This window comes from Homo sapiens, chromosome 14 (assembly GCF_000001405.40).
Source record: "Homo sapiens chromosome 14, GRCh38.p14 Primary Assembly".
In the NCBI taxonomy this organism is placed as follows: Eukaryota; Metazoa; Chordata; class Mammalia; order Primates; family Hominidae; genus Homo; species Homo sapiens.
In genome coordinates, this window is record NC_000014.9 from 69,831,856 (window position 1) to 69,857,345 (window position 25,490).

Genomic DNA, 25,490 nt, shown 5'->3' on the forward strand with positions numbered 1-25,490 from the left:
TGATATTTAGAGACCATAATCTATGTGCTTGAGTGCTCATTACTATTTAGTTCATTAGTATAGCTGGGCCTTTTGTGTGGACAGAACTAGAAAAGATGAGTGTACATATGTAGATATTTAGGATAAAATTAATCATGAGTTCATATTGATATTTCTAGTTCAAATTCAAGATTGTAGATTTTTTTTTAAGATGGAGTCTCATCTGTCGCCCAGGCTGGAGCACAGTGGCACAATCTTGGCTCACTGCAACCTCCGCCTCCTGGGTTCAAGTTATTCTCCTGCCCCAGCCTCCCATCAATAGCACCTTTGACCACACCTCACATTCTGGTTTTCAGTGTCACCATCAAATTGATTATTTGGTTTATTTCACATGTCACACACAGCAATTTTAGAATATGAATACCAATACACATACCAACATGAGGAATACCGAAAACCACTCAAGAGGTTGTGGTTTTTGTAGGGTTTTTGGTTCTAGGGTATATTTCATTAGGGATGTACACATTTTTGTACTGTTATTTGGAATGGTTAATGCTACAAATTGAATATATAGTTGGAGTCACCTGTTACATTTTACTTTTGATTTCTAGGTATTACTCTGTAAGTGTATTTTTGTTGTATAATTTATAAATAAATTGCATAATTCCACAGTCAAATATTTTAAATGAAGTTGTATTCAAAGGAGTTTGTCTTAAATCCCTGTATTCTCAACCCCATTTCCTCCATCCCTCATAGGTAATTATTTTAAAAAGTGTTATGGTTGATCCTTCCATAAAAAATACAAATATATATATTCATAGTCTACTCTTCTTTGAAAACGTGGTAGCATACTCTGTGTGTGTGTGTGTGTGTGTGTGTGTATGTGTGTATATAATTTTATTATTATTTTTAAGGATAGGATCTCACTATGTTGTTCAGTCTGAAGTACAGGTGCAATCACAGTGCACTAAAGTCTCAAACTCTTGGGTTCAAGCAGTCTTCCTGCCTCAGCGCTCTAAGTAGCTGAGGCCACAGGAATCAGCCACCATGCCTGTCCTCTAGCTTATTTTTCTATAGAGTTTTTGGCCATTTTCTTCCCTATTTTTAGAAGATTTTTACATTTTAGAGATTTTAACCCTTTTGTGGTATAAATTCGAAATCTTTTTTTCAGTTTATTATTTGTCATTTTACTTTGTGTATAGTTCTTTTTGCCATGCAGTACTTTTTATGTTTTATGTAATTATGTTAAACTTCCTCTTGTTCTGATTTTGAGTCATAGGAAAGTTTTTCCTACTCCAACATGACAGAAGAATTTATCCATATTTTCTTCGAGTTTTGTAGTGTCTTTTTTAAAACATTGAAATCTCTGATATTTTTGGAATTTTTCCTGATTTACAATATAAGCATTAGTTCCATTTTTTCCCCTATATGACTATGCAGTATATCTCTTTCTCTGTATAGTTATATCAAGAAAGTATCCATTGGCTTCTATTCTACTGAGTGTTTTTAAAATGAATGGACATTGAATATTAGAAAAAAAATTATATTTTTTGTAAATATGGAAGTGATCATATGATTTTTCCTTTAGCTTTATTAATAGAATGGATTTTATTAGTGGATTTCTCTTTTTTCTTATTTTTTGAGACAGAATGTCACTCTATCACTCAGGCTGGAGTGCAGTGGCACAATCTTGGCTCACTGCACCCTCCACCTCCTGGGTTCAAGTGATTCTCCTGCCTCAGCTTCCTGAGTAGCTGGGATTACAGGTACCCACCACCACACCTGGCTAATTTGTGTATTTTTAGTAGAGACAGAGTTTCACCATGTTGGTCAGGCTGGTCTCAAACTGCTGACCTCATGTGATCCACCTGCCTCAGCCTCCCAAAGTGCTGGGATTACAAGCATGAACCATTGCGCCCACCCTATTAGTGGATTTCCTATTATTAAGTTGCCTTTGTATTTATGGACCAACTCCATTTGGTCATAATGTATTATTTTATATGTGTTCTGTTGGATTCTGTTTGTTATTTTGTTAAAGATTTTTGTAACAGTATTCATAAGCAAGACTGATTTTTTTGTGTGTAATCTTTGCCAAATTTGCTATCAGTATTATACTCACTTCATAAAACAAAATTAGAAGTTTTCCTTCTTTTTCTATACTCTGTAATAGTTTAAATTGCATAAGGATTATCTGATCTTTAAAAGTTTGGTAAGATTCCTTTTTTTTGTTTATGGAGGAGGTCTCTAAGTATTTTCTCTATTTCTTCTATGACAATTGATCTGCTTAACTTTTCTTAGAAAAACTTCTATTACTGTCTATTTTGGCAAATTATATTTTTCTTAAAAATATCCATTTTTATAGGTTTGAAGGTTATTTGCCTATTGTCATGCAAGGTAATCTCTTTTTGGGGAAACATTTTTGTTTTCTTAGTTATTTTTCTTTGTTTCTAATTTTGAACATTTGTATTTCCTTCCATTCTCATTTTTTTTCTTGATTACATTACCTACATTTTGTGTTTATTTTGTTTTTGATTTCTTTTTTAAAAAAGAAGCAGGTTTTAAAATTTATTTATTGTTTTTTATTTTCTAACTCATTGATTTCTGTTTTAATCTTTGTTTATTTTCTGATTTTTTTTGTTTACCTCGTTGCTTTTTTTTCTAGCTTTTTGAGTTGGTGTTTATTCCCTTATTTTGATTCACATAGATATAGATATTTAATACTATAAATTTCCCACTAACTGCTTTTGTTGTATCTATTGTATACCGCAGATTATGATATGTCATGGTTTCTTCATAATTACTTTCATGAAATTCTGTAACTTCATCTGGTATTTCTTCATTTGATTCAAGGATTGTTTAATAATGTGATTTTTAGTTCCTAGGTAGAAAAATCTTCTGGTTTTAAAATTTTATTATTAATTTCTAGTTTTGTAGAATTGTAGAGAGATAATGTTTGTGTTTTTATTTGTGTTCTTTGGGACTTAATTGAGTTTTTTTGTGTGCGACCAAAGATATGGTCAATCTGGTGACTGTTTCAAGTGCACTTAAAAAGAAACTGTAGTTTCAATGAGGAGGAATACATTTTTGAGATCTGTTGCACAGAATGGTGACTATAGTTAATAATGATGTACACTTCAAAATTTAAATGTGTGCATGACATACACACACAAAGATAAGTGTGAGATGAGGGGTATGTTAATTAGCTTGATCTAATCATTCCATAATATACAGTATACATATATATCAAAACATCACATTGTGTCCCATAAATATATACAATTATTATTTGTTAATTTAAAGTAAAGTTTTAAAGGAAGATAAAAAGAAAATAAAGAAGCTGTATTCTGTTATTAGGGATCAGAATTGGATACATACTAATAAGACCTACCTTACTATCGTAAGGTCTTAATGTGTCCTGAATTAAGATAAATATGTTAAAGTCTCCTATTAGTTTTATTTTTCCTTGCAAATACTATAGTTTCTTCTTTATGAAAGTGATTGCTATATGCTAATAACTATATATCTTCATGGTGAATGATAGGTTTTATCATTATAAAACGCCTTTGTCTCTTTCACTATGTTTTTTTTGGATCTAAGTTCTGTCTTATCAGATAGCAAGATTGTGACTCCTATTGTTGGTGTTTTTTTAGATTTACATATAGTTGGTATATCTTTGTGCATTTAAACATTGTTAACCTACCTTAATCTCTTTGTTTTAGGTGTGTCTCTTACGTATAACACAGATTTTCATTTTGCTTTGTTGGCAACCTAAAAATCTTTTCCTTTTAATGAGTGAGTTAAACATATTTACACTATTGATATGATCAGTGTGTTTGGCTCAGTTCTGTCGTATTATCATGATATACGTCATATGTCTCTTTTATCATAAATATCTTATTTGTCTTTCACTTTGTGGATTTTTTTCATTCTCTTCCTCTCTCAATATATCTTTTGGTATTGAGGAAAGTTTTAATTTTTTCTAATGGTTATCTTTTTTTTCTTTTTTTTTTGAGATGGAGTCTTGCTCTGTCACCAGGCTGGAGTGCAATGGTGCGATCTCGGCTCACTGCAACCTCTGCCTCCCGGGTTCAAGTGATTCTCCTGCCTCAGCCTCCTGAGTAGCTGGGACTACAGGCGTGCACCACCATGCCCAGCTAATTTTTGTATTTTTAGTAGAGATGGGGTTTCACCATTGTTGGCCAGGATGGTCTCGATCTCATGATCTCATGATCCGCCCTCCTCAGCCTCCCAAAGTGCTGGGACTTTATACTTCCTCTAGTGTTTTGTCTTTTTTTTTTTTTTTTTTTTTTTTTATGGAGGTGGACTATGGTCTTTGGTGCCATAATATGAACAATATCAAATTTACATAGTAACCTCTTCTCCCTGTCCCCTCCTTTCACACCAATATTTGAAGTAATATTCTCTTTCTCCTAGATGTTACATATAAGGCAATCGGTAAGCTCATTCTAGTTTTCATACACACTCTCCATTCTTCCCCATTTTGTGAGAGTTGTGTTTACATTGTCAGAGGACATAACCATCACATGCTATCCTGTCTCACTTTTAATTGCTATTTGGTCTTATTTGTATAGGCAAGTGCATACTTAATGTCTATCATCAGTACTTACACAGGTAACCTTGCAGTCATTTTTTGTTTCCTGAAACTAATTTTCTAGTTCATTCCTCAGGAAGGGATTATGGCAAACATATTCTTGAATTCTTGCATGTTATTAAAAGTTTGTCTGTGGGCCAGGTGCTGTGGTTCATGCCTGTAATCCCAGCACTTTGGGAGACTGAGGCGTGCGGATTGCTTGAGCCCAGGAGTTCAAGACCAGCCTGGGCAACATGGCGAGACACCCTATCCCTAACCACCATCTCTATTAAAAAAATAAAAAGTTTGCCTGTGGCCTTTGTGCTTAGAGATCTCTTTGGCTTAATATAAAATCCACAGCTCATATTTTTTTTCTTGAGTATCTTAAATATGTTATTCCATGTGTTTTGGCATAAAGCATTGCTGTAGAAAAGTCTGATGAGAATCTCGTTTTTTCCTCTTATAAGTGATTTGGTCTTTGATCTTGGATATTCAAATGATCCTTTTCTGTTACTAATTTTTTTAAGTGAATTGGGTATTTTTGGAGAAGAGGGTTGAGTCAGGGGAGCTTTTCTAGCTTCTTGGCTCTAGAGCCTCCTCTTCTGTTTTTGCAAAATGATAAAAATATGGTCTGGTGTTTTCTGAGATCTGTTTCATCTGTTCTACTCTCTTATTTTTATTTCACATTTCCTTTTTTTGAGATGGAGTCTCACTCACTCTTTCGTCCAGACTGGAGTGCAGTGGTGCAATCTCAGCTCACTGCAACCTCTGCCTCCCAGGTTCAAGCGATTCTCCTGCCTCAGCCTCCCGAGTAGCTGGGACTATAGGTACACACCAGCACCACCACACCTGCCTAATTTTTGTATTTTTAGTAGAGACAGGGTTTTGCAATGTTGGCCAGGCTGGTCTCGAACTCCTGACCTCAGGAGTCAAGACTCCACCTTGGCCTCCCAAAGTGTTGGGATTACAGGCACGAGCACCCGGCCTTATTTTACATTTTTCATCCTTTACTCCTATTGTCTAATCCAGCTCCATGTGGGTACTATTTGTAGTATTTTCTCTTCAATGTGGGGCTTTTTTTTTTTTTCCCGGAAATGAGCTTATGCTTGTCAGTCCTGAGAGTTTACAGGGCCCAGGCTACTCTCCAGCACCATAAGTCGTTATTGCATGGTGGTCCTCCTGCCCTGACCCACAGATTGGATCTCACAGAAGCGCCATTCTACTTCAGCTATTCTTCTTAGATTGACTCACCATATTTTCCGGTGAATTTGGGGTTTTTCTGTTCTCAGAACCTTTCTTCTGCTCCTGCTCAAACAGCAGATTCCAATAACATGCAAGTCTCATGCTTTTGAAGGCTTGTTCCCATGAACATGTACTTAGTGGTTTGTAGAGAGACTCTGTCACTTAATATTGTAGATATTGTCTGTGGGTCTTTGATTTTGCTATCTTGGTTGCTCTCTCTGTTTTTAGGGGAGATTAAAAAACTATGCTGTCACGATCATCTTTACAGAATCCACTTGCTTACCTCCACTTTTTAATAAACTTTATTATTTATTTATTTATTTGTATTTATTTTTTGAGACAGGGTCTCACTCTGTCACCCAGGCTGGAGTGCAGTGGTGCGATCATGGCTCACTGCAGCCTCAACCTCCTGGGCTCAAGTGATCTTCCCACCTCTTCCTCCTGAGTAGTTGGGACTACAGGCATGCACCACCTCTCCTGGCCAATTTTTAAAATTTTTCGTAGAGACGAGGTCTCACCATGTTGCCCAAGATGGTCTCGAACTCCGGGCTCAAGTGATCCTCTTGTCTTGGTCTCCCAAATTGCTGGAATTACAGGCCTGAGCCACTGTGCCCGGCCAACAAATTTTATTTTTAAAGACAGTTTTAAACTTATGGAAAAATTGCAAGGATAGTATAGAGGTCCTATACATTGTGCACCTAGGTTTCTCTATTATTAAAATTTTACGTTAGCATGCTACATTCAGTATAATTAACAAATGATATTGATACACTATTATGAACTAAAGTTCACATTTTATTCATATTCCTTAGTTTTTACCTACTGTCCTTTTTCTGTTGTAAGATCTCATTGAGGATACTATATTTATTTATTTATTTATTTCTGAGACAGAGTCTCACTCTGTCACCTAGGCTGGAGTGCAGTCATGTGATCTCAGCTCACTGCAGCCTCAACCTCCTGGGCTCAAGTGATCCTCCCACCTCAGCCTCCTGAGTAGATAGGACTACAGGCACACGCCACCAGTGCCCAGCTAAGTTTTGTATTCTTTTGTAGAGATGGGGTTTCACCATGTTGCCCAGGCTGGTCTCAAACTCCTAGGCTCAAGTGATCCACCCACTTTGGCCTCCCAAAGTTCTGGGATTACAGGTGTGAGGCACCGTGGCTAGCCTATGTTATATTTAGTCATTATGTTTCCTTAGCTTCCTCTTGGCTGCGACAGTGTCTCAGACTTCCCTTGTTTCTGGTGACTTTGACAGTTTGATTAGTACTGGTCAGGTATTTCAATTAAGATCCCTTAATTGAAATTTGATGTTTTTCTCATGAAGAGACTGGAACTGTGGGAGTTGGGGAGGAAGACCACAGAGGTAAAGTGCCACTCTCCTCTCCTTATATCAAGGGTGCATCCTGTCAGCATGACTTATCGCAGTTGCTGTTGACCTTGATCATCTGTCAGGTTTCTCCACTGTGAAGTTACTATTTCTTCCCTTTCCATTCTGTCCACCTAGGAGGGAAGTCACTGTGTATAGCCCACACTTGGAGAGTGAGGGGTTAGTTATGCTCCACCTCCTGGAGGGTAGAGGTTCTACGTACATTATGAAAATTCTGCATGGGAGATGTGTCTCCTCTATACCATTTATATGATTTATTTCATCATTTATTAATGTCAGAATGGAACCTGAATATTTATTATACTTTGGGTTTTAATCCAATACTGCTTTATTTATTTTGTTGCTTAAACTGTTTCAGCTTGGGGCATTGGAGCTCTTTCAGCTGGTTCCTGTGTCCCTTTGATATACCCCCATTATTGTGTCTATGTGTGTGTGTGTGTGTGTCTATGTGTCTGTGTGTCTCTGTGTGTGTGTGTATATATGTGTCTGTGTGTGTGTCTATGTATGTCTCTGTGTGCATGTGTATGTATGTGTCTGTGTGTGTATGTGTGTCTGTGTATGTGTCTGTGTCTGTGTGTGTCTGTATGTGTCTCTGTGTGTATGTGTATGTGTCTGTGTGTGTGCATGCATCTTTGTGTGTGTATGTCTGTATGTGTGTCTGTGTGTGTGTCTCTGTGTGTATGTGTGTGCATGTGTGTGTGTGTCTGTGTCTGTGTGTGTGTCTGTGTGTTTGTGTGTCTGTTTGTACCTGTGTATGTGTCTCTCTGTGTGTCTGTGTGTGTATGTGTCTGTGTGTGTATGTGTCTGTGTATGTGTGTGTGTCTCAGTGTGTATGTGTCTGTGTATGTGTGTCTCTCTGTGTGTATGTGTATGTGTCTGTATGTGCGTTTCTGTGTGTGTGTCTGTGTGTGCATCTCTGTGAGTATATATGTGTCTGTATGTGCGTTTCTGTGTGTGTGTCTGTGTGTGTGTCCGTGTGTGTGTGAGCACTTCCTTACTTTCTGGCACTACAAGATGCTCCAGGCTCATCATTTCCCAAGTCCTGAACCAACCATTTTTTCCAAGGAGCCCTGGTTCCTTTGGAGTACGGTATTAGAAATTAAAAGCTGGGTGCTAGGGATGCTTTCCCTCTCTTTTTACCCATACTGGTGACCTCTATTTCTGGGCCTCCCCATTCCCTCAGGGCCTACTTCTTTCCTGCTTCGCTGCCTTCTGGATTCTACGGCTGAGCTGCCCTCGACCCTACCATCCCTTGTCCATGCAGTGTACTTGTCCTCCCAATTCACAATCTTGGACCTGGACTTTGGTCTTGCCCTGAGGTTGTGAGGTGCTGGGAGGTCTGCGGAGCTCTCTGTGTCGCTTGGAAAACTTACCACTCTCTAAGATGGCTGTTCCCCGCCCCTGCCCTGTGCTCCGTCCTACCTACTGCCTGGGTAGCAAGGGCCATAGCCTCCTACTTCACCACGAAAATGGAGACCAATAGGGGTTCAGACCCTAAATTTCCCTCCCTACAATTCCAAACTTAGCTGAGTCTTATACCCACCTGCTCACCTTTTGTTTTTCCCTTCCTTTCTGTCTTCCTTCTGTCGTCTCAGAGAATGTGTGTTTTTCCTGCCTTCCTTCCAGGCCAGTCTTTCCATTAGCTCAGATCACCAGGAGGAGGTTTCTCTTTCCTCTAATCTTCTCTAGAATTTTGCTCCATCGGTGATCTAATTTTGTGTGTCCTGAAATGCCCCTTCAACACTGCTTTCTTCTCTCTGCCTCTGAACATGTGTAAATGTCCCTCATCCTAAAAACACACACCCCCCTTTTTACATGACCGCTCCCCTTCACTGTTTTGCTACTTCTCTCCTCTTCCCTTTCTCCATTGCACTTCCAGAGAAAGACATCTCTGATAACTGTATTGGTGGCTGCCCTTCCTCCTTTGTGCCCACAAACTTGTTTCTGCCTTATCTGCCACTTTCCTGGAACTCTTCTCTGAAAGAATCACCGTATCCAGTGGTCTCTTCTTCACTGTTCCATATGACCCATCTTAGGACAGCATTTCCCCTTTGGTTCTCTCTTTCCCTCTTGGCCTTTCCTGTACCTCTGGCTTCAGGGAGGGATGTTCTTCTATCCTGGCTGTCTATCTTCCTCCCTCCCTGCTCCGTCTTGGCTCCTTTCACTGGCTCCTCTTTCTCCCTGCCCTTCACCCTCCACTTCCTACCTGGGGGATACTGTCAACCTTCAAGATGTAGCACCTGCCCATCCGTGGTTCTCTTCCATGGCTGTGCATTAGAATCACCTGGGGGGCTTCCAAAAAGTATTGACTTCCAGGCCCCTCCCTTAACTCATTAAATCAGATTCCCTAAATATGCAGCCTGGGTGTCTCTGTTGATCAAAGCTCCACAGAGGCTCTGGTGAGCAGTCAGGATGGAGACCTTTAATTTCCGTGTTAATGATTCCCCAGGGGATCTCTCCACTTTTGTCCCTCCACTGAGCCCCACATGCATATTTCCATCTGCTTACTGGAAGGCCACACACACAAACTCCAGATCAACAGGGCCGAAGTAGAACTCATGTTTCCCCTGTCCCTCTGCTTTGCTGCAAGCCTCACTCTTCTCTCTTCCCCTTTCTAAGGCTATTTCCATCTGCCCACTCAGGCTAAATAGAAGGCTCACGTTTGGCTTTTCCCCCACTCTCAAATCCATTGGTGACTGTGCCCTGCTGACGCTGAGATGTTGCTCTTCCTTCCCAGCCTCCCTGCCACTGCTTTAGTTTGGGTCCTTGCCATCTGGCATCTGAACTGTAGCATTAGATTCCTAATTGTTCTGTTTGCCTCCGGTTTCTCCCACTCCCTAATTCAACTGTCCCTAATTTTCTTTCTAGAAGGCAAATCTAATAATCTTCCACTGTGAAAATCCTAGAATGGTCTTTCAACACCTGGCTACGCTTCTCCACGTGGCTTCTTTAGCCCTGTGCATGAGAATCACTTGTGATGCTTGTTAAACTGCAGATTCCAGGGGTAACCCAAGACCTGTGAAATCAGAAAACAGAAAATGGGAGTCTGTATTTTTGAATGTGCTCCCTAGTAGGTCCTGATGTATAGTGATGTTTGCAAACCCTGGCTCCAAGCCCTGTAGCTGGTACCTAAATCCTTTCTACCCCTACCTCTACTCTGTCTCCAGACAATGTGACCTTCATGGATCTCCATGGTCACCAGACTATCAAACCCAAGTATCACCCGAGAAAGATTAATGTCTAGCCCTTCTGATCTGCTTCCCTTCGTCTAAAAATGCCTCTCCCTTTGCTGCCTCTGTTTCCTTGCTTGTTCTGATCCCTCTGTCCGGCTCAGAGAAACCAAGACTCAGGGTGGTTATTCTTGAGTAAGATCCCAGAGTCAGAAAGTGGCAGAGCCAGGAATCAAACGTAGGGCTGCCTTACCTCAGAGCCTGTACCCTTAACCACTCTGCTGTGCTGGTTCTAGGGGCTGATTAATGAATTTAGCAAAGGCCCCACACCACCCTCTTTGTTCTAGTTCCAGCACTGTCCCCTCCCTCCAGAGCCCCTCTCACCAAGGGGTCATGCATCCCCTTTCATCCTTGTTTTAAATGGAAGACAGCTACTCTTCCTCCCTGTCCAGAGGCCAGGCCATTTCCCCCTTGCCCACCTCCCCCCATCAAGCTGCAAAGAGGCCCAGTGATGAATGGGAGGGGAAAGCGGAAGGTGGGGAGGAGAAGGAGAAGGAGGAGGAGGAGGAGGAGGAGGAGGAGGAGGAGGAGGTGGAGGAGGTGGCAGTGGCGGTACAAGCAAGGCAGAGTGGGATGGAGTGTAAGCAGAGTGCCAGAGCCACAAACCTTAATTTAATCACAGGGCCCCATGCTCAATTTAACAGACACAAGGGCTCAGAATGGGGTCCCTGTGCGGCGGTGGGGCAATCAGCCTGCTGCAGTTCCTGGGAAAGCATTAATTGCGGATGACAATGTGTAAACAGTGGGGATGAATGGAGTGTGCAGGTGTGAGTGCTGGGGCCAGCCTGGGCTGTTTTCACACGAGCTGCAGCTCCTCCACTGCTGACCTGCTCCCCAGAACAGGATTAGTGGAAACAGTTGGGAAACCGTTGAGGGTGTTGGAGCTTGGCATAGAGCAAGTGGCCGAGAGCAGAGTGGAAGAGGGGCAGGGACTGGAAGGGCAGAGGCCTGGGAGATGAACTGTAGGGTGTGTGTGGGTGTTGCGGACTGCCTGCCTGCGGCCTAGCCCCTAGCCAAGCCACAGACTCTCTGGAAAGGAAGGCTGGATTTTTAATAACAATGAAGGCGGTCAGACCTGTGCAGCTCGGGACTGCGCTTGGGCTTGCCATCCACCTGGGCAAAGCCAGGTCATAGGGAAACTGAGAGATGCTCCAGAGCCCTTGTCTTCTCTCTCCCAACAGAGCCCCAAGATGTGCCTGGGGAAGGCCAGGCAATGTTGAACCAGCCTGGGGTCCCCAGCCAGATCTGAGTGGGAGAGGTGTCAGGGCAGGGTGATGGGGGTGGTGAGGAATTGGAAGAGTGCTGAGACAAGTCCAGAAAAGCCTAGATATCTGAAGATCTTTCATCTGAGAATCTCAAAGCGGCTTTCCAAAGCTGTTTCCTATATTTCTCTTGTCTTTTCACTCCTGTTGTGACTTTCTGAGGACAAGGGCAATGCCCCCCTTTTCTCTTCCCTTTCCCACGATCCCTAGAATGAGCTGGGCCCTCGGGAGTCCTAGGAGTTCAGGCTTTATCCTGCAGGCAGTGGGAGCCCATGGACTGTTTTAGGTAGGTGATCATCATAGGGTTTCAGAAGGATAATACCGGCCACAGGGTGATGGCTGAGGTATGGAGCAAGGCCTGGGAGGTAGAGGGGTTTGAAGGAGTTGCAACAAACCAGGTGAGGAGAGTCTGACCTGTGACCAGCAGTGGAGCTGGGGAAGAGAAGGCACATTTGAGAACCATCAAGGAGATGAATTTGCAGGACTTCAGGACTGGTTGGCTCTGGGGTATGCAGGCACAAGGTTCTGGTCTGAGCAACCTACTTGATGGTGGCAGCAATGTCTGTGTGCCCAGTGGGGAACACAGATGGAGGAGTAGTTTCATAGTAGAGGATAATGGGTTGGATTTGGAATGGCTTTCTTTCTGATGATTACTGTGGACTCAAGGCTGTAATGCTGAAGAACTGAGAGCCAAAAAAAAAAAAAAGTCCTATGGAGATTTCCTGAAAGAGGGTCAGGATACTGGGTCCCCACATCTACTGTCGGCCAAGAGCCCTGGGCCAGGCTGCGTGTCCCTGCAGGGAGTGCTCCCACCTGGCAATGCCAAGCTCATCCTGAACACCCATGGGGGCTCAGCCCTGGGAGCAGGCAGTGTGAACTGGCTCAGAAGAGGAAAAAGTCAAGTTGGCACTAGAAAATCTCATGCATAAGCCAAGAAAAAATAACATCCAGATGCAAACTGAACCCACTACCTTGAATCTGTGTTTTCTTCAGATCCCAGTTCAGTCTCTCCTGCTGGCTTGTTTTTATTTTCTGTTTAGAGGGAGAGATTATTTCTTTTTTCCCTGCAGTGTTTAGGCACTTGAAGTAAAGTTAAAAGCTTAAGTGACTTTCCCATCAAAGGAAGGTTAATGGTAACCTGGATTTAAAAAGTGGGGTGAGACCAGGCCTAGTGGCTCACTCCTGTAATCTCAGCACATTGGGAGGCTGAGGCAGGCAGATTACTTGAGGCCAGGAGTTTGAGACCAGCCTGGCCAACATGGTGAAACCTTGTCTCTACTAAAAATACAAAAAAATTAGCCAGATGTTGTGGTGCACACCTGTAGTTCCAGTTACTAGGGAGGCTGTGGCAGAAGAATCACTTGAACCTGGGAGACAGAGGTTGCAGTGAGCTGAGATTGCGCCACTGCACTCTAGCCTGGGCGACAGAGCGAGACTCTGTCTCGAAAACAAAACAAAACAACAACAACAACAAAAACAACAACAAAAAACTGGGGTGAGAAGCTGGGTATTAAGTACTATCTGTATTTTGGGGTCATTTTCCTATTTTAGTTCTTAATAATGGTTTCTAGTATAGTTCTGGATCCACAGCCTGGGATCAGATTCCAGCTCAATCATTTGCCAGTTGTGTGACTTTGGGAACATTTACTTAAGCCCTCTCTGCCTCATTCTCCTCACCTGTGAAATGGGGATAATAATACCTAGAACATGGCACTGTGGTGGGGATCAGATGGGTTCATGCATGCACTTGCTTTGGAGAGTGTCTGGCTCATAGCCAGCATGACCATATATTACTACAACAGGGGTTTCCCTAACCCTTCCTGCTTCAGTCGTGGAGCTCTTTGGGGGAGCCCTCTGGGTTTTCTGCTCTATTGGTCCTTGTCTAGGCTGTCAGATCAGTTTCTTGGGTTCTCATGACGAAGCCCTAAAGAGAGGTCTTGATAGTTTTGCAATTCACTCTTCCTGCTCTTTCACCTGCCATGCTTTAGCTCCAGAGCCAGACTTGAACAGTGGTTCCTCTATGCTGCCATTTCTTGAATCAGATTTAAAAATTGATGGATATAGAGTAGCTAACAAGTTTGGCAAGTAAGGATATTAAAGAGTCATCATCAGCATTTCATATATGGACATACTAGTACTATAAGTGTTGAAGCGGGTATTGGACGTCGATTATTTTTTGCCACCCGACATCCATTCACCTGCTTCAGGTGACAGCCCCCAATTTTTTGGTGCATCCATTGCTCCCTCACAATCAGGCCCCAACTTAGAGCTGAAGCAGGTGGCAGGTGGAAGCCAGTCAGGGCTTCTCATTCCTCTGGCTCCAGTAATTGAGTATGTGGCTCAGCCAGAAGCAGTGAGGCACACAGAGTCTGGCAGAAATTCTGGGAAAGACACGGCGGCTCCCTCCTGCTGAACTCTAACCAGAGAGGATGTAGTGGTGAAGGTGCTGCTGCCGGGCTGCTGTCACATGGAGCCTGAGGCAGCACGGAGGCAGGCAGAGTCAAACAATGAGGTCATCTGAACTCGAAGTCCAACCACCCTTGAAGCCCCTGGCTTTTTTTTTTTAAAGAAACTTTTTGTTTTATAATAGTTTTAGATTTACAAGAAATTGTGAAAATATTAGAGTTCCCAGACTCCATACCCACTTTCTCCTAATATATATATATATATATATATATATATTTTTTTTTTTTTTTTTTTTTTTTGAGACAGAGTCTTGCTCTGTCACTCAGAATGGAGTACAGTGGTGTGATCTCAGCTCACTGCAACCTCCACCTCCCGGGCTCAAGCGATCCTCCCACCTCAGCTTCCTGAGTAGCTGGGACTAATGGTGTGTGCTACCATGCCTGGCTAAATTTTGTATATTTTGTAGAGACCGGGTTTCGCCACGTTGCCCAGGCTGGTCTCGAACTCCTGAGCTCAAGCAGCCTGCCTGCCTCAGCCTCCCAAAGTGCTGGGATTATATGCATGAGCCACTGTGCTCAGCCCTATTATTAATATCTTATATCAGCATGGCACATTCATCACAATTAATGAGCTGATATTGGTACATTATAATGAAATGAAGTCCATATTTCATTCAGGCTTTCTTAGTTTTCCCCTAATGCCCTTTTCTGACTCAGGATCCCATCTAGGACACCATGTTACATTTAATCCTTATGTCTCCATAGGCTTCTCTTGGCTGTGATGGTTTCTCAGACTTTTCTTGTTTTTGGTGACCTTGACAGTTTTGAGGAGTCCTGGTCAGGTATTTTGTAGAATGCTCCTCAACTGGGATTTTCTGATGTTTTTCTCACAATTAGACTGGGTTATATGTTTTTGGAGGAAGGCCACAAAGTGCCACTCTCATGACGTATCGAGGGTCCCTCTTGTCCACATGACTTATCACTGTCGATGTTGACCTTGATCACCTGGCGAAGGCAGGGCTTGTCAGGTTTCAGCATCATGAATGCATTCTTTTTATGGCTCTTTTCATCCTTTCCATGCTGCGGTTTATTTTATTTTTATTTATTTTTATTTTTTATTTTTTGTATTTTTAGTAGACAGGGGTTTCACTGTGTTGGCCAGGCTGGTCTCAAACTCCTGACCCCAAGTGATCTGCCTGCCTCAGCCTCCCAAAGTGCTGGGATTACAGGCATGAGCCACCGTGCCCAGCTTCCATGCTGTACTTTCTGGAAGGAAGTCACTATGTGGAGCCCACGCTTAAGGAGTGGGAGTTATGTTCCCTCCCCTTGAGGGTGCAATATGTATATAAATTGTTTGGAATTCCTCTGCATGGAAGATTTGTCTCTTCCTCTCACATTTATTTATTCAATTATTTATTTATGTAAGTACGGATTCCTGGCTATTTATTTTATACTTCGGGTTATTATCCAATACTACTTTATTTTGTTGCTCAATTTGTTCCATCTTTGAGCATTGGGAGATCTTTCATTTGGCTCCTGTGTCCCTTTGACAAACCCCCATCAGTGTGGTCATTTGGATGTTTCGGTAGACATGAGCTATCAATTTCTTTCTAGTCTAAGTCAGTTTAGTTCAAAGGTTTTGTCACGTGTAACCAAAAGATTATCAACAAATCTCGAGAGTCTTTAGGTTGCATTATCTGTTGAAACTTTCAGATGTTGTCCACATTTTTCTTGTGTCAATGCAGTTGAATGAAAATTTTACCCTGGAAAGCACAGATCCTCCCTGGGGCTGCAGTGGTCACTTTGCTGGGCACTGTATCCGGGGACTTGGGATCGTGGGCCTGGGTGCGATTCAAGGGCTAGTCTTATGATCTTAGGCAAGTCACTTAACCTCTGAGCTATAAAAGGGGTACAGAGATGGGAGGGGATTAGGTGACACCACGTCATTGTGATGTGACCCAGACACCAAGACTGTACCTCTGATCTGCTGAACCAGTTGCAGGTGAGTTTAATGAAGCCTCCAAATTACGGTTGCCAGATAAAATATAGGACACCCAGTTAACTTTGAATTTCAGATAACTAATGAAAAATTTTATTATAAGTATGTCTCAAATATTACATGGGGATATACTTACACTAAAAAATTATTTGTTGTTTATCTGGAATTCAAAGTTAACTGGGTGTCCCGTATTTTTATTTACTAAACCTGGCAATGTTACCCCAAATGGCCTCTCATTTTTAGGTTTCTCAGGGCATACACTCCAGAAAAGGTGACTCTGCCACTTCAATTTCAGTGATAAAGGAACCTGAGCCATGTAGTGTCCTGGGAAGAACAGGACTTTGTGGTCAGAGTCTCATGAGGTCAAATCTCTGCTCCATGGCTCTGGGAAACTTGTTTGATCATTCTGAGGTCAGTCTCCATCCTCTGTTGTACAATGGGTTGATAATTCACAGACGCCATCACAACACTTTGCAGGGTCTGACACCTGGGACTCAGTCAATGGTGGCCACTGCTATTGATGTTACTCTTATTTGGACAAATGAACAGAATGTCCTGAGAGAGGAGATCGAAAGCCATGACAAGGCAGCCCCCTCACTCCCACCCAGTCCCCTTCTCTGAGCCGGGGAGACTGCTAATGCCAGAAGCAGAGGCTAGGGGTGTGGAGGGGGTTTGGGGTGCTCTGTGAGGATCTCTCTGGGGCCTGGGCTTTTTGCTCAAGCTCAGTATCTCATCTGGGATCCTGTTTTCTGAGGGCTTAGGATTCCTCCAGTGGAGCTGGGCCTGAGGTTGGAAGGAGAACCTGTACTGATAGGGTTTGGAATGGGCTAGTTGTGGGAGATTAAAGAGAAAACTAGTTGGGGTGGGGGAGCTGACCTTACTCTTCACAAGCAGGGCAGGCAGGTGCACAATAATGATAGCTAAATTTACTGAGTTCTTAGTATGTGCCAGGCATAGTTTTTTGTAATTTTAATGTATTACTTCATTTAATCCTCACAACTCCCCATTTTATAGGTGGGGAAATTGAGGCGCAGAGGGACTAGGAAACCTGCCCAAGGTCGCACAGTGAGTAAGTGGGACAGCCTGGCAGCTGTGTCCTAGTCACATGCTCAGCACATTGTGTATCTTGTTTCATTTAGTTCTCACAAGAGCCTTCTGAGGTCAGCGTGATTCTATCTTCATTGTGTAGCTGAGGGCACTGAGGGTTATACAATTTGCCCAAGGCCATAATTTACAGGGGCCATGATTCAAATGTGAATTTCCAACTTGCAGGTGCCTGGAGGTGTCAGGCAGGGGAGGAGGAGGCCAGTGATGACCTTTCCCCTCGTGCCAGCCCTCAGAAGAGGTGGAAGTGCCTGCCGTATGCCTTTGATTTATAGTGGAGCAGGGGTTTAGATCCAGCTGTCAACTTGGGAAGCCACGTGAGGATTCTATTTTTAAAAATGGCCTTGTAATTATAATAGTGGGGTAAAAACCACCACCACCACCCAAGCAAACAGGAAAACAACCTGAATGTCCAACAGTGGGGGAACCAGTTAAATCAATTATGGTACAAACCCATGATGGCATATTTGGCAGTTAAGAATCTCACATTTTCAGAGACTCTTAGCATGGGATAATGCCTCCAGATATAACTAAAAGCAGGATATAAAACTGCATAACAACCTGATCCCAATCGAAAGGTAATTTTGTATATGACTTCTTATACAGAGAAAACGACTAGAAGAAAATAGAAAGTTGATGGTGGTTATCTCCAGCAAAATTAAAGGCAATTAAAATTTTCTGAATTATCCTATCATGTACTTGCCACATGCTTTACAAATCAGTTCGTTGACTCACAGACCATTAATCAGCTGGCATGCAATCATGGCGTTTTGAAGGTGGGGAAACTGAGGCCCAGGCCAGGGAACGCGGTTCAGGCTGGCCATGAAGCCGCGTGTGTTTGTCCAGCTCGGACGTGTGGCCCTGCCGGGTGTAGGGGGGACACCCATGCCTCCAACACGCATAAGGGGGTGACTGTATGGGGGTCGTGGGGCGCCCTCCCCCAAGGGGCACAGCTAGAGCAAAGCAGAGAAAGGAGGGGGTGAAGGTGGGGTGGGGGCTGGGTGGAAGGGAAGGGTTGGGGAACCTTTCAAAAATGGAAACCAGATGAGCCGTTCAAAGAGGAGCAAATTCTCCACGGCGCGCTCCTTTGTTGCGAGCGTGTGAGGCGGCGGCAGCTGCGTGCCTCGCCCCCCAGCCCACAGCCCGATGAGGCGGACACGGATAACTGCATTAGATGCACTCAGCTCTTTTCAATAAAACGCCCTTGTTGGAGGCACAATAGGGGGAACAGGGCAGCAACCCCAGGCCGGGCCGGGGGCGCCCTGCCCTCCTCCCGGAGAGCGCAGAGCGCACTCATTTTTCCGGGCTCTGCTAATTGACGTTTGGCCGCTGCGTGGTTCAAAAGAAAAGGCCGAACTCAAGTCCACTTCCACCGGAAACCAGGCGGCCCCTCCCCTGCCGCCCCGCCATGGCTGGGTCTCTGGGGGCGCAGCCAGGGACCACAGTGCAGCTGGCCGCAGGTGGCGCGGAGGCTGCTGTGACTCAGAATAGAAGGTGTCCTGAAGGCTTCTCCCAAAAAGGCTCCGTGCGCAGGCTTCTAGTTTCTGTTTGAGGAGACAGGTGGCAGCAGCAAGAGCAAAGGGCAATTTCAGGGCTGGAAGACTTCATCAGTGATTACCCAAATGCCACATTCTTTTAGTGATTCTAGTAAAGATAGCCTAGAACATTCTTTTAAGTTAAAAAAAAAAAAAAGGAAGATTACTATTTCTTGAACCTCTCCAGTGAGTTGCTTTAACTGTGAGCTAGGTGTTTACCATCCCTGGTTTACAGATGTGGAAACCAGGACTTAGATTACTGGCCCTCTAAAATCGCACAGCTAGGAAGTGGTAGAGCTGGAATTTGAGCCCAGGTCTGTTTAACTTTAAAGCAGGGTTTTTCAACCTTGGCACTATTGACATTTTAGCCTGGATAATTCTTTGTTGTGGGGCCTGTCCTGTGCCTTGTGGGATGTTTGTAGCATCCCTGGCGCTATCATCCAGATAGGATCACCAAAAATGTGGCCAGACATTGCCAAATGTTCCCTGGGGAGCAAATTTGCCCCCTGTTGGAACCACTGTTTTAAAGCATCCCTGTCATGCTACATGTGCTGGCATACTCATCTTTGCTGGGCTCAGGAATTTAATCTTTTGGGAAAACCAATTGGCCATGTGGGATTCTTTTCTTAAAGTTCGGCCCCACATGGTTCATGTGGGTGAGGCAGGAGAAGAGTTGGCTGCATCAGACAAGGTCAACCTCTGTGTACCAGCACCTGAGTATCTGTGGAGTACTTGAGGCATTTTAAACTGGGTATCTGTCTGTCTACATTTCTTGGGCCTCATTGGGTTGGGAGTGGTTCTAGTTCCTTCAACTATGCTTCCCATTCCTCTCTGCCAAGACTGTCCCACAGAGGGTGAGCCAACACGCTGCCCCATTCCCCCCCGCCATTTCATTATGCCAGGTAGCAAGACTAGCCTTGGCCACTGGAATTGCTAATACATCAGGGAAAACACCTGGTGAAGGAAGGAGATGTCACCTATGCAAAAATGGAGCAGGAGCCTCATCTTGAAATGAGTAGGGAGAGGACTTTGTTGCAGGCAGCTGGCCCCACCACTGGCCCACAGTGCTGGGGAGGTGGCTTCACCTGATTTCATTTTTGGCTGCAACTTGTGCATGATCCTGCCTCTGCCTTTGCAGCATACTGTGGCCTTTTGCTGCTTTGGCTTATGAAATGGTTCCACTCCCCAGTCCCCAAAGTTCAGAGGCCACCCAAATCCAGCCCCAGGCTCTGGGGACACACTGAACGGAGGCCTGTTTCAGTTCAACTGCCTTCTTCTCACATAGACAGAGTTGATTTATAACTGGGCTCCATCATATTTGTTTTTCCAATTCTGGCCTTCTTACTCCCCAGATTGACTTTCTACTGGAAATGACTTTTACCAAAGGTACCTCTTGGAAGAGTGTCAGGTCCATAGGGAAGTTAGAGGCATCAGGGCCTACTGGACTTCAGGCCTGTCCCCAGCACCGTCCTGGGCTGCACTTTATTGGACGTGCTCATGGGTGGGGGGCTCAGAGACTTGGGGATAGGCCTTATCTTTTTAAATTGAGCCCGTTCTAGGGAACATAGAGGATAAGGGCTTGAGGAGCTCAAAGAGAGGAACAGACATCTGGAAAGAAAGGAAATAGGAAACTGGGACAGTAAAAAGCAACCAGCATCTCAGAGGATGAGGGATTAGGATTTTTGATAACTGAAGTTTGTCTCATCTCTCTTTTCCTTTAATATGCTCATAAGCTTTTGAGGGGTTAGCATAGAAGCAGACATGTGCATGCACACATCCTCAGTTTAGTTTGGTATAGCATACACATTTTTCCTGCTTTCCCTCTTAGCCAATGATATATATTTGGTGGACAAAAGTTCCTTCTAAAAGGACCATTTAAGAAAAGGAAGATATGAAAGTAAGCATGTGTGTGAATGTGTTTGTGCCTCCACCACATGTAACTGCTTTCTTTTCGTTTCTTTCCTTTGAGTGTCTCCCCCTCCCCTGGGTGGTTTACATTTGCTGTCCTTTTGCTGAGATAATTTGCACTCTCCAACTTCATTAGCTGCAACTCCCTCCTGCCCTGGGACAAAAAACAGGGCCAAACTCTTCAAAAGAACACATGGAGACCCCATTAATGCTGGCCCTAATTGTGCCAATTCAAACCCCTCAATAACTCTAATTAAAACCTGTCTTGTGCGAGGCGCTGAGTGGCAACACAGCTGTCATCCCAGACAATCACATAACAGCTATGAGAAAAAAGGTCTCTCTGTGCAATTTTTGGTGGTGGTTGTTATGGAAAGGGTCAATGCAGGAGGATTAAGACAGGGGTGCAGTCAGAGTGGGGAACCTTGAAAAAGTCTTCGACGTCAGATCACAGTTTGAAATCAGAAGACCTTTAGCTTTTTTCCTCTAGCTGCCCCCTTATTTTTTTCCCCCTGCCCCAGGCAGGAACACCTGCAAACTGCCTGGAAGGGGCCATGACCACCAGACACATGGATACCACAAGTTGACTGAAACATCTGAAAGAAAAGGAGCCCCTCCCCTCCCCCTCAAGAGCCCGACCAGCAAAACCACACACCAAAAGCGGAGACAAAGTTTTTCTCTTGCTTCCAACTTTGTCTTTTAGGATCCAGCTGCACTTTGCTGGGCACCATAAATAACTCTGCAATTACATTAATTGGTTGCATATTTGTTGACACTGAAAGGGAAGCCTTTAAGGTTGGGGGAGGGGGAGGTGGGTTTCAGCTGTAATTTTCCACTCTTTCCCTTTGCCATCTCTCCCTGTCTGACTTCCAACCACCTTGCTTAGTTTTCTGGAATGGAGGGAAGTGGTGGGCTGATAGGCTGTTTTCAGAATAATCTTTGACGGCTTTCAGTCAGACTTATGTTTCTTCTGTTTGCTGTCCCTGGATCTGTTAATCCACTGGGTTTAGAAGTTATGTCCCACTGTGGGAGAACTTGAGATGGGTTCCTGGCAACACTCCATGAAGTCTGATTTCCTCTGGAGGCAGGGTGTGGGGTGGGCTTCTTTTCAGGCTTATTGTTTGGATCAAAGGAGAACTGGCTAGACTTTTGCCTGAATCCCCAAACCCATCCTGGGTTCTTCCAGAAGCTTGGCCAAGATACCTTGGAGAGTATCTTGAATTCCATTCCTTGGGAAGCTACGGGATCTTAGTTACCTCATTCACTCTACCTCAGTCAATGGGCAAGACCTGGAGCGTTCAGCTTGAAAACCAGCCCATTGGCTGGAGGACTTTGCAGAGTGGAAGGTGACGGGGGCGTGTGGCAGACTCTGAGCCCCAGCTGACAGCTGAAAGTAGGCTGACGACCTGGGACTCAGAATTCATTTTCCCTCAGAGCTGAGCCTAAAGGAATTCCTCTGGGTCCTGGCCTAGGGCTGGAGGGGGAATGACAGCGCATGGAGCATGCCTTGGAAGCTGCCCCCCCACTGGCCCTGCTGAGTGGGCAGAGCCACCCTTGGGAGGAGGAGCCATGCCTGCTTTGCTATCACTGTTCCCTCACAGTACCCAACATGAGCCTGGCACACGGGAGGCTCCCAGCTAATGTCTGATCGGGGGGATGGCTGAGGACCTCAGGTTCTGGTGTCCAGGTGCTCTGAGCTCTTAAAAAAGGAAGGAATTACTTCAATATGAAATCAGATGGTTCCCTTCCACGTGGTGTGGTGGAAAGAGCATAGACTTTGAGGCCCACAGACTGTAACTTTAACATACCGACTTTTCAGAGCGTCATAAGGATAAATGCACTTATGTAAGTAAACACAAGAAAAGTTACTTTCTTTTCCTTTCTCTGTGAAACCAGTGAGAAGAATAACTTTCAGAATATAAGCTGATTTCCTCACGGCAAAATAAGGACAACACAATCCTGCAAATTAGCAAAGCGAGAAGCAGGCTTGAGAACCTAAAAGCTTGAGCGAGACCGGGTTCCAGGCTGGGTCTCATGCTTACCACCTTGTATTTGCTGTTCCCTCTGCCTGGAACGTTCTTCTCCCGGTTGTTGCATGTCCCTCACTCCTTTAAGCCTCTGCTCAAATATCACTTCATCAGAGTGGGCTTCCTTGAGCACCCTATCCAAAATAGCAACCTCCCCTCCCCATCTCTATCTCCCTCACCTGCTTTATTTTTCCTTATGGTACATGTCATCCCCCAACATATTATATATGAGTTGATTTGTTTGTTATCTCTCTTCCTTATTACATTCTGAGTTTATGAGAACAGGAACTTGTTTTGTTCATTGTTGTATCCACAGCACTTAGAACAGTGCCTGACACATAGCAGATGCTCAATTAGTATTTATTGAATGAATGGGTTCGGGGATGGCAACACCTTCTCATCACCTAACAGGAAGAGAATACCTGCTCCCAAATATTTGTTGGGTCAAGTTACTCCATAATAAACACGTTGAAAAGAGTGGCCCTTCTCTCATTTCCAACCTGCGGTTCCTAGAGTAGGAGTTAAGGTCATGGCTTTGGAGCCAGATAGTCTTGGCTGTACCCTCCCACGGAGAGGGGAACTGGGGATAATTGCTGAGCACCTCTGAACTGCAGTTTCCTTATCTGAAGGTAACAATGATTGTTACCTCATAGGACTCCTGTGTGAATTAAGATAATGTTTGAAAAGTGTTTATGGGGATTTTTGGCACAAAGTATGTGTACATCAAAAAGTGGATGACATTGCTGTTGTGGTCATCGTCATCCTCATGATCTTGAGGCTGCGACCACCCCCCCACCCTTAACTGAGAGTGGGGCTGATCTAAGGACAGGCAATGCCATGAGGCAAGTGTAGACTTTTATTTTGAAATAACCCCCACCAACTAATCATACTTAGGGAGGGGAGAGCTAAGCCTTGTTTTACTGCTTTTATTCCTCTGCTGTCTTGTTTTTGAAACTTGCACTTGGTTGCTCATCACATAGTCTTGTAGATAAGAAGGACCACAAATTCCTCACTGAGTTTATTTCCTCGAGCTTGGACAGCTGGTGCAGAAGGTCCCCAAATGGTATTTGGGTCATTATCACCTTGACAAGGAATCTGATTTCTTTTCAAACCAGAATAGGTTTCTGTCTAAGACCAGAGTAAATATCATCCCTTCAAAGAGACCAAACAGATGAGTCACAAGCAGACAAATCCGAGTCTTTTTTTCAGTGTCGCTAGGATGTTGTGAGTGGGCACACCCTCATTCTCTTTCCAGCCACCAAGAGTCGGCGTTAGGTGTTGGCAGGGCGACTACCCACTCCAGGGGCTCTCAATTTGTCTGCCCGTGTTTGGACCTAGGACTTTTCTGGGGCCGTCAGCCTTACCCTATTGCAGTTGTTTATCTACTCCAGTGACCTGTATTCAATGATGTTGTATGACTGCCCATATGTATGTTTATGTGCACATATGCAAACACATGATACACATACAAACCATACTTATTCCCTGCCTTTGGAAAGTTGGAAACAGTATGAGATTTGGAATCATCTAGACCTTAGCTTTAAATTCTGGCTTTGTCCTGTAGTTGCTTTGTGACCAAGTCCAATGTGGTCCCTGCTATGTCAACACCCCTATGCACACCAATAGGAGACTTTCTTCTTCTTTCTCCAGGCAGGAGAATAAGGGTTGGCTGGGCAAAGACAGGGTTCCTGGTAGGGAAAGGGAAGGGGACACATGCTTTGGAGAAGGGAGGGACCAATTAAGGATGGAGAGTGGTTGTGCAGTGAGAGAGAAGTGGAGAAAGAGATCTCTATACGCTCTGGCCCACTGTGTGAGGCTGGAGTCTGGGGCCCATCTATGTCCAAGGGCACTAAGTGCTGCTCACCCCAGATGCACAGCCCATCACAGTTTGTATACCTCAGTGCAAGGCATTGCTTATATTGGCTTTGCTTAGTTCACAAGTCGGCAGTGCTGACCAGCAGCAGGTGAAGTGAAGAGCCCAGAAAGATTCCAGCTACAGAGACATTGGAGAATCAAAGAATGACTGATGAGGGATCCTAGAGCGTTGGTCACTAAAGGGCGGCCTCAGGGCAATCCTCTGGATGGTGGCAAAAGAATGGTTAGAATCCATTTCTATTTGTAATCTACTAAAAACAAGAAACAAAAGTGCTCATTAATATCTACTCACAGAGTGGCTCTTCTTCTCCAACTTAGTCCATTCATCAGACAGCACGCACCACAGCAGATGTAGGAGTGGGAGTCCCTGGATCAAGGGTGGGGGCGGGTTGCCCTCATTCTGTCCTGCGCTTTGAGCGTGTTGTGATGTATTACAACAGTATATTTGTGCCTGTTAGTATATTGTTTAGTTGAATGCCTAGCCTCACAAAATAGACAGCCTAAAAATTTCCTTTTAAAAGCAAAAAAATTGTTTTGTAGACAGTATTAAAACTGCAAAATATTAAAACAACGATGATGGCTGAGTTACCACCTCCAATTTCTTATATGAACTCTCTTTTTCCCGCATTGTGAGGTACAACAATGATCTGGCAAGAAATCAGCGACTAAAGCAAGTTGAAGTGATTTTGAAATCTAGACATACGGATTTATTTATTTATTTATTTTTTGAGGTGGAGTCTCACTCTGTTGCCCAGGCTGGAGTGCAATGGTGCGATCTCAGCTTACTGCAACCTCCACCTCCTGGATTCAAGCGATTCTCCTGTCTCAGCCTACCAAGTAGCTGGGACTACAAGGCATGCACCACCACACCTAGCTAATTTTTGTATTTTTAGTAGAGACCAGGTTTCACCATGTTGGCCAGGCTGGTCTCAAACTCCTGACCTCAAA

The 25,490-nt window shown here is 44.1% G+C and overlaps 2 annotated features.

Annotated features, from left to right (window-relative positions):
- Positions 10,584 to 11,158: an enhancer, noted in NCBI's record as "H3K4me1 hESC enhancer chr14:70309156-70309730 (GRCh37/hg19 assembly coordinates)". NCBI's record gives its function as "activates a minimal SCP1, AML or CMV promoter by ChIP-STARR-seq in primed H9 embryonic stem cells {active_cell/tissue: H9 hESC(primed)}" and the evidence as "EXISTENCE:reporter gene assay evidence [ECO:0000049][PMID:30033119]".
- Positions 11,159 to 11,731: an enhancer, noted in NCBI's record as "H3K4me1 hESC enhancer chr14:70309731-70310303 (GRCh37/hg19 assembly coordinates)". NCBI's record gives its function as "activates a minimal SCP1, AML or CMV promoter by ChIP-STARR-seq in primed H9 embryonic stem cells {active_cell/tissue: H9 hESC(primed)}" and the evidence as "EXISTENCE:reporter gene assay evidence [ECO:0000049][PMID:30033119]".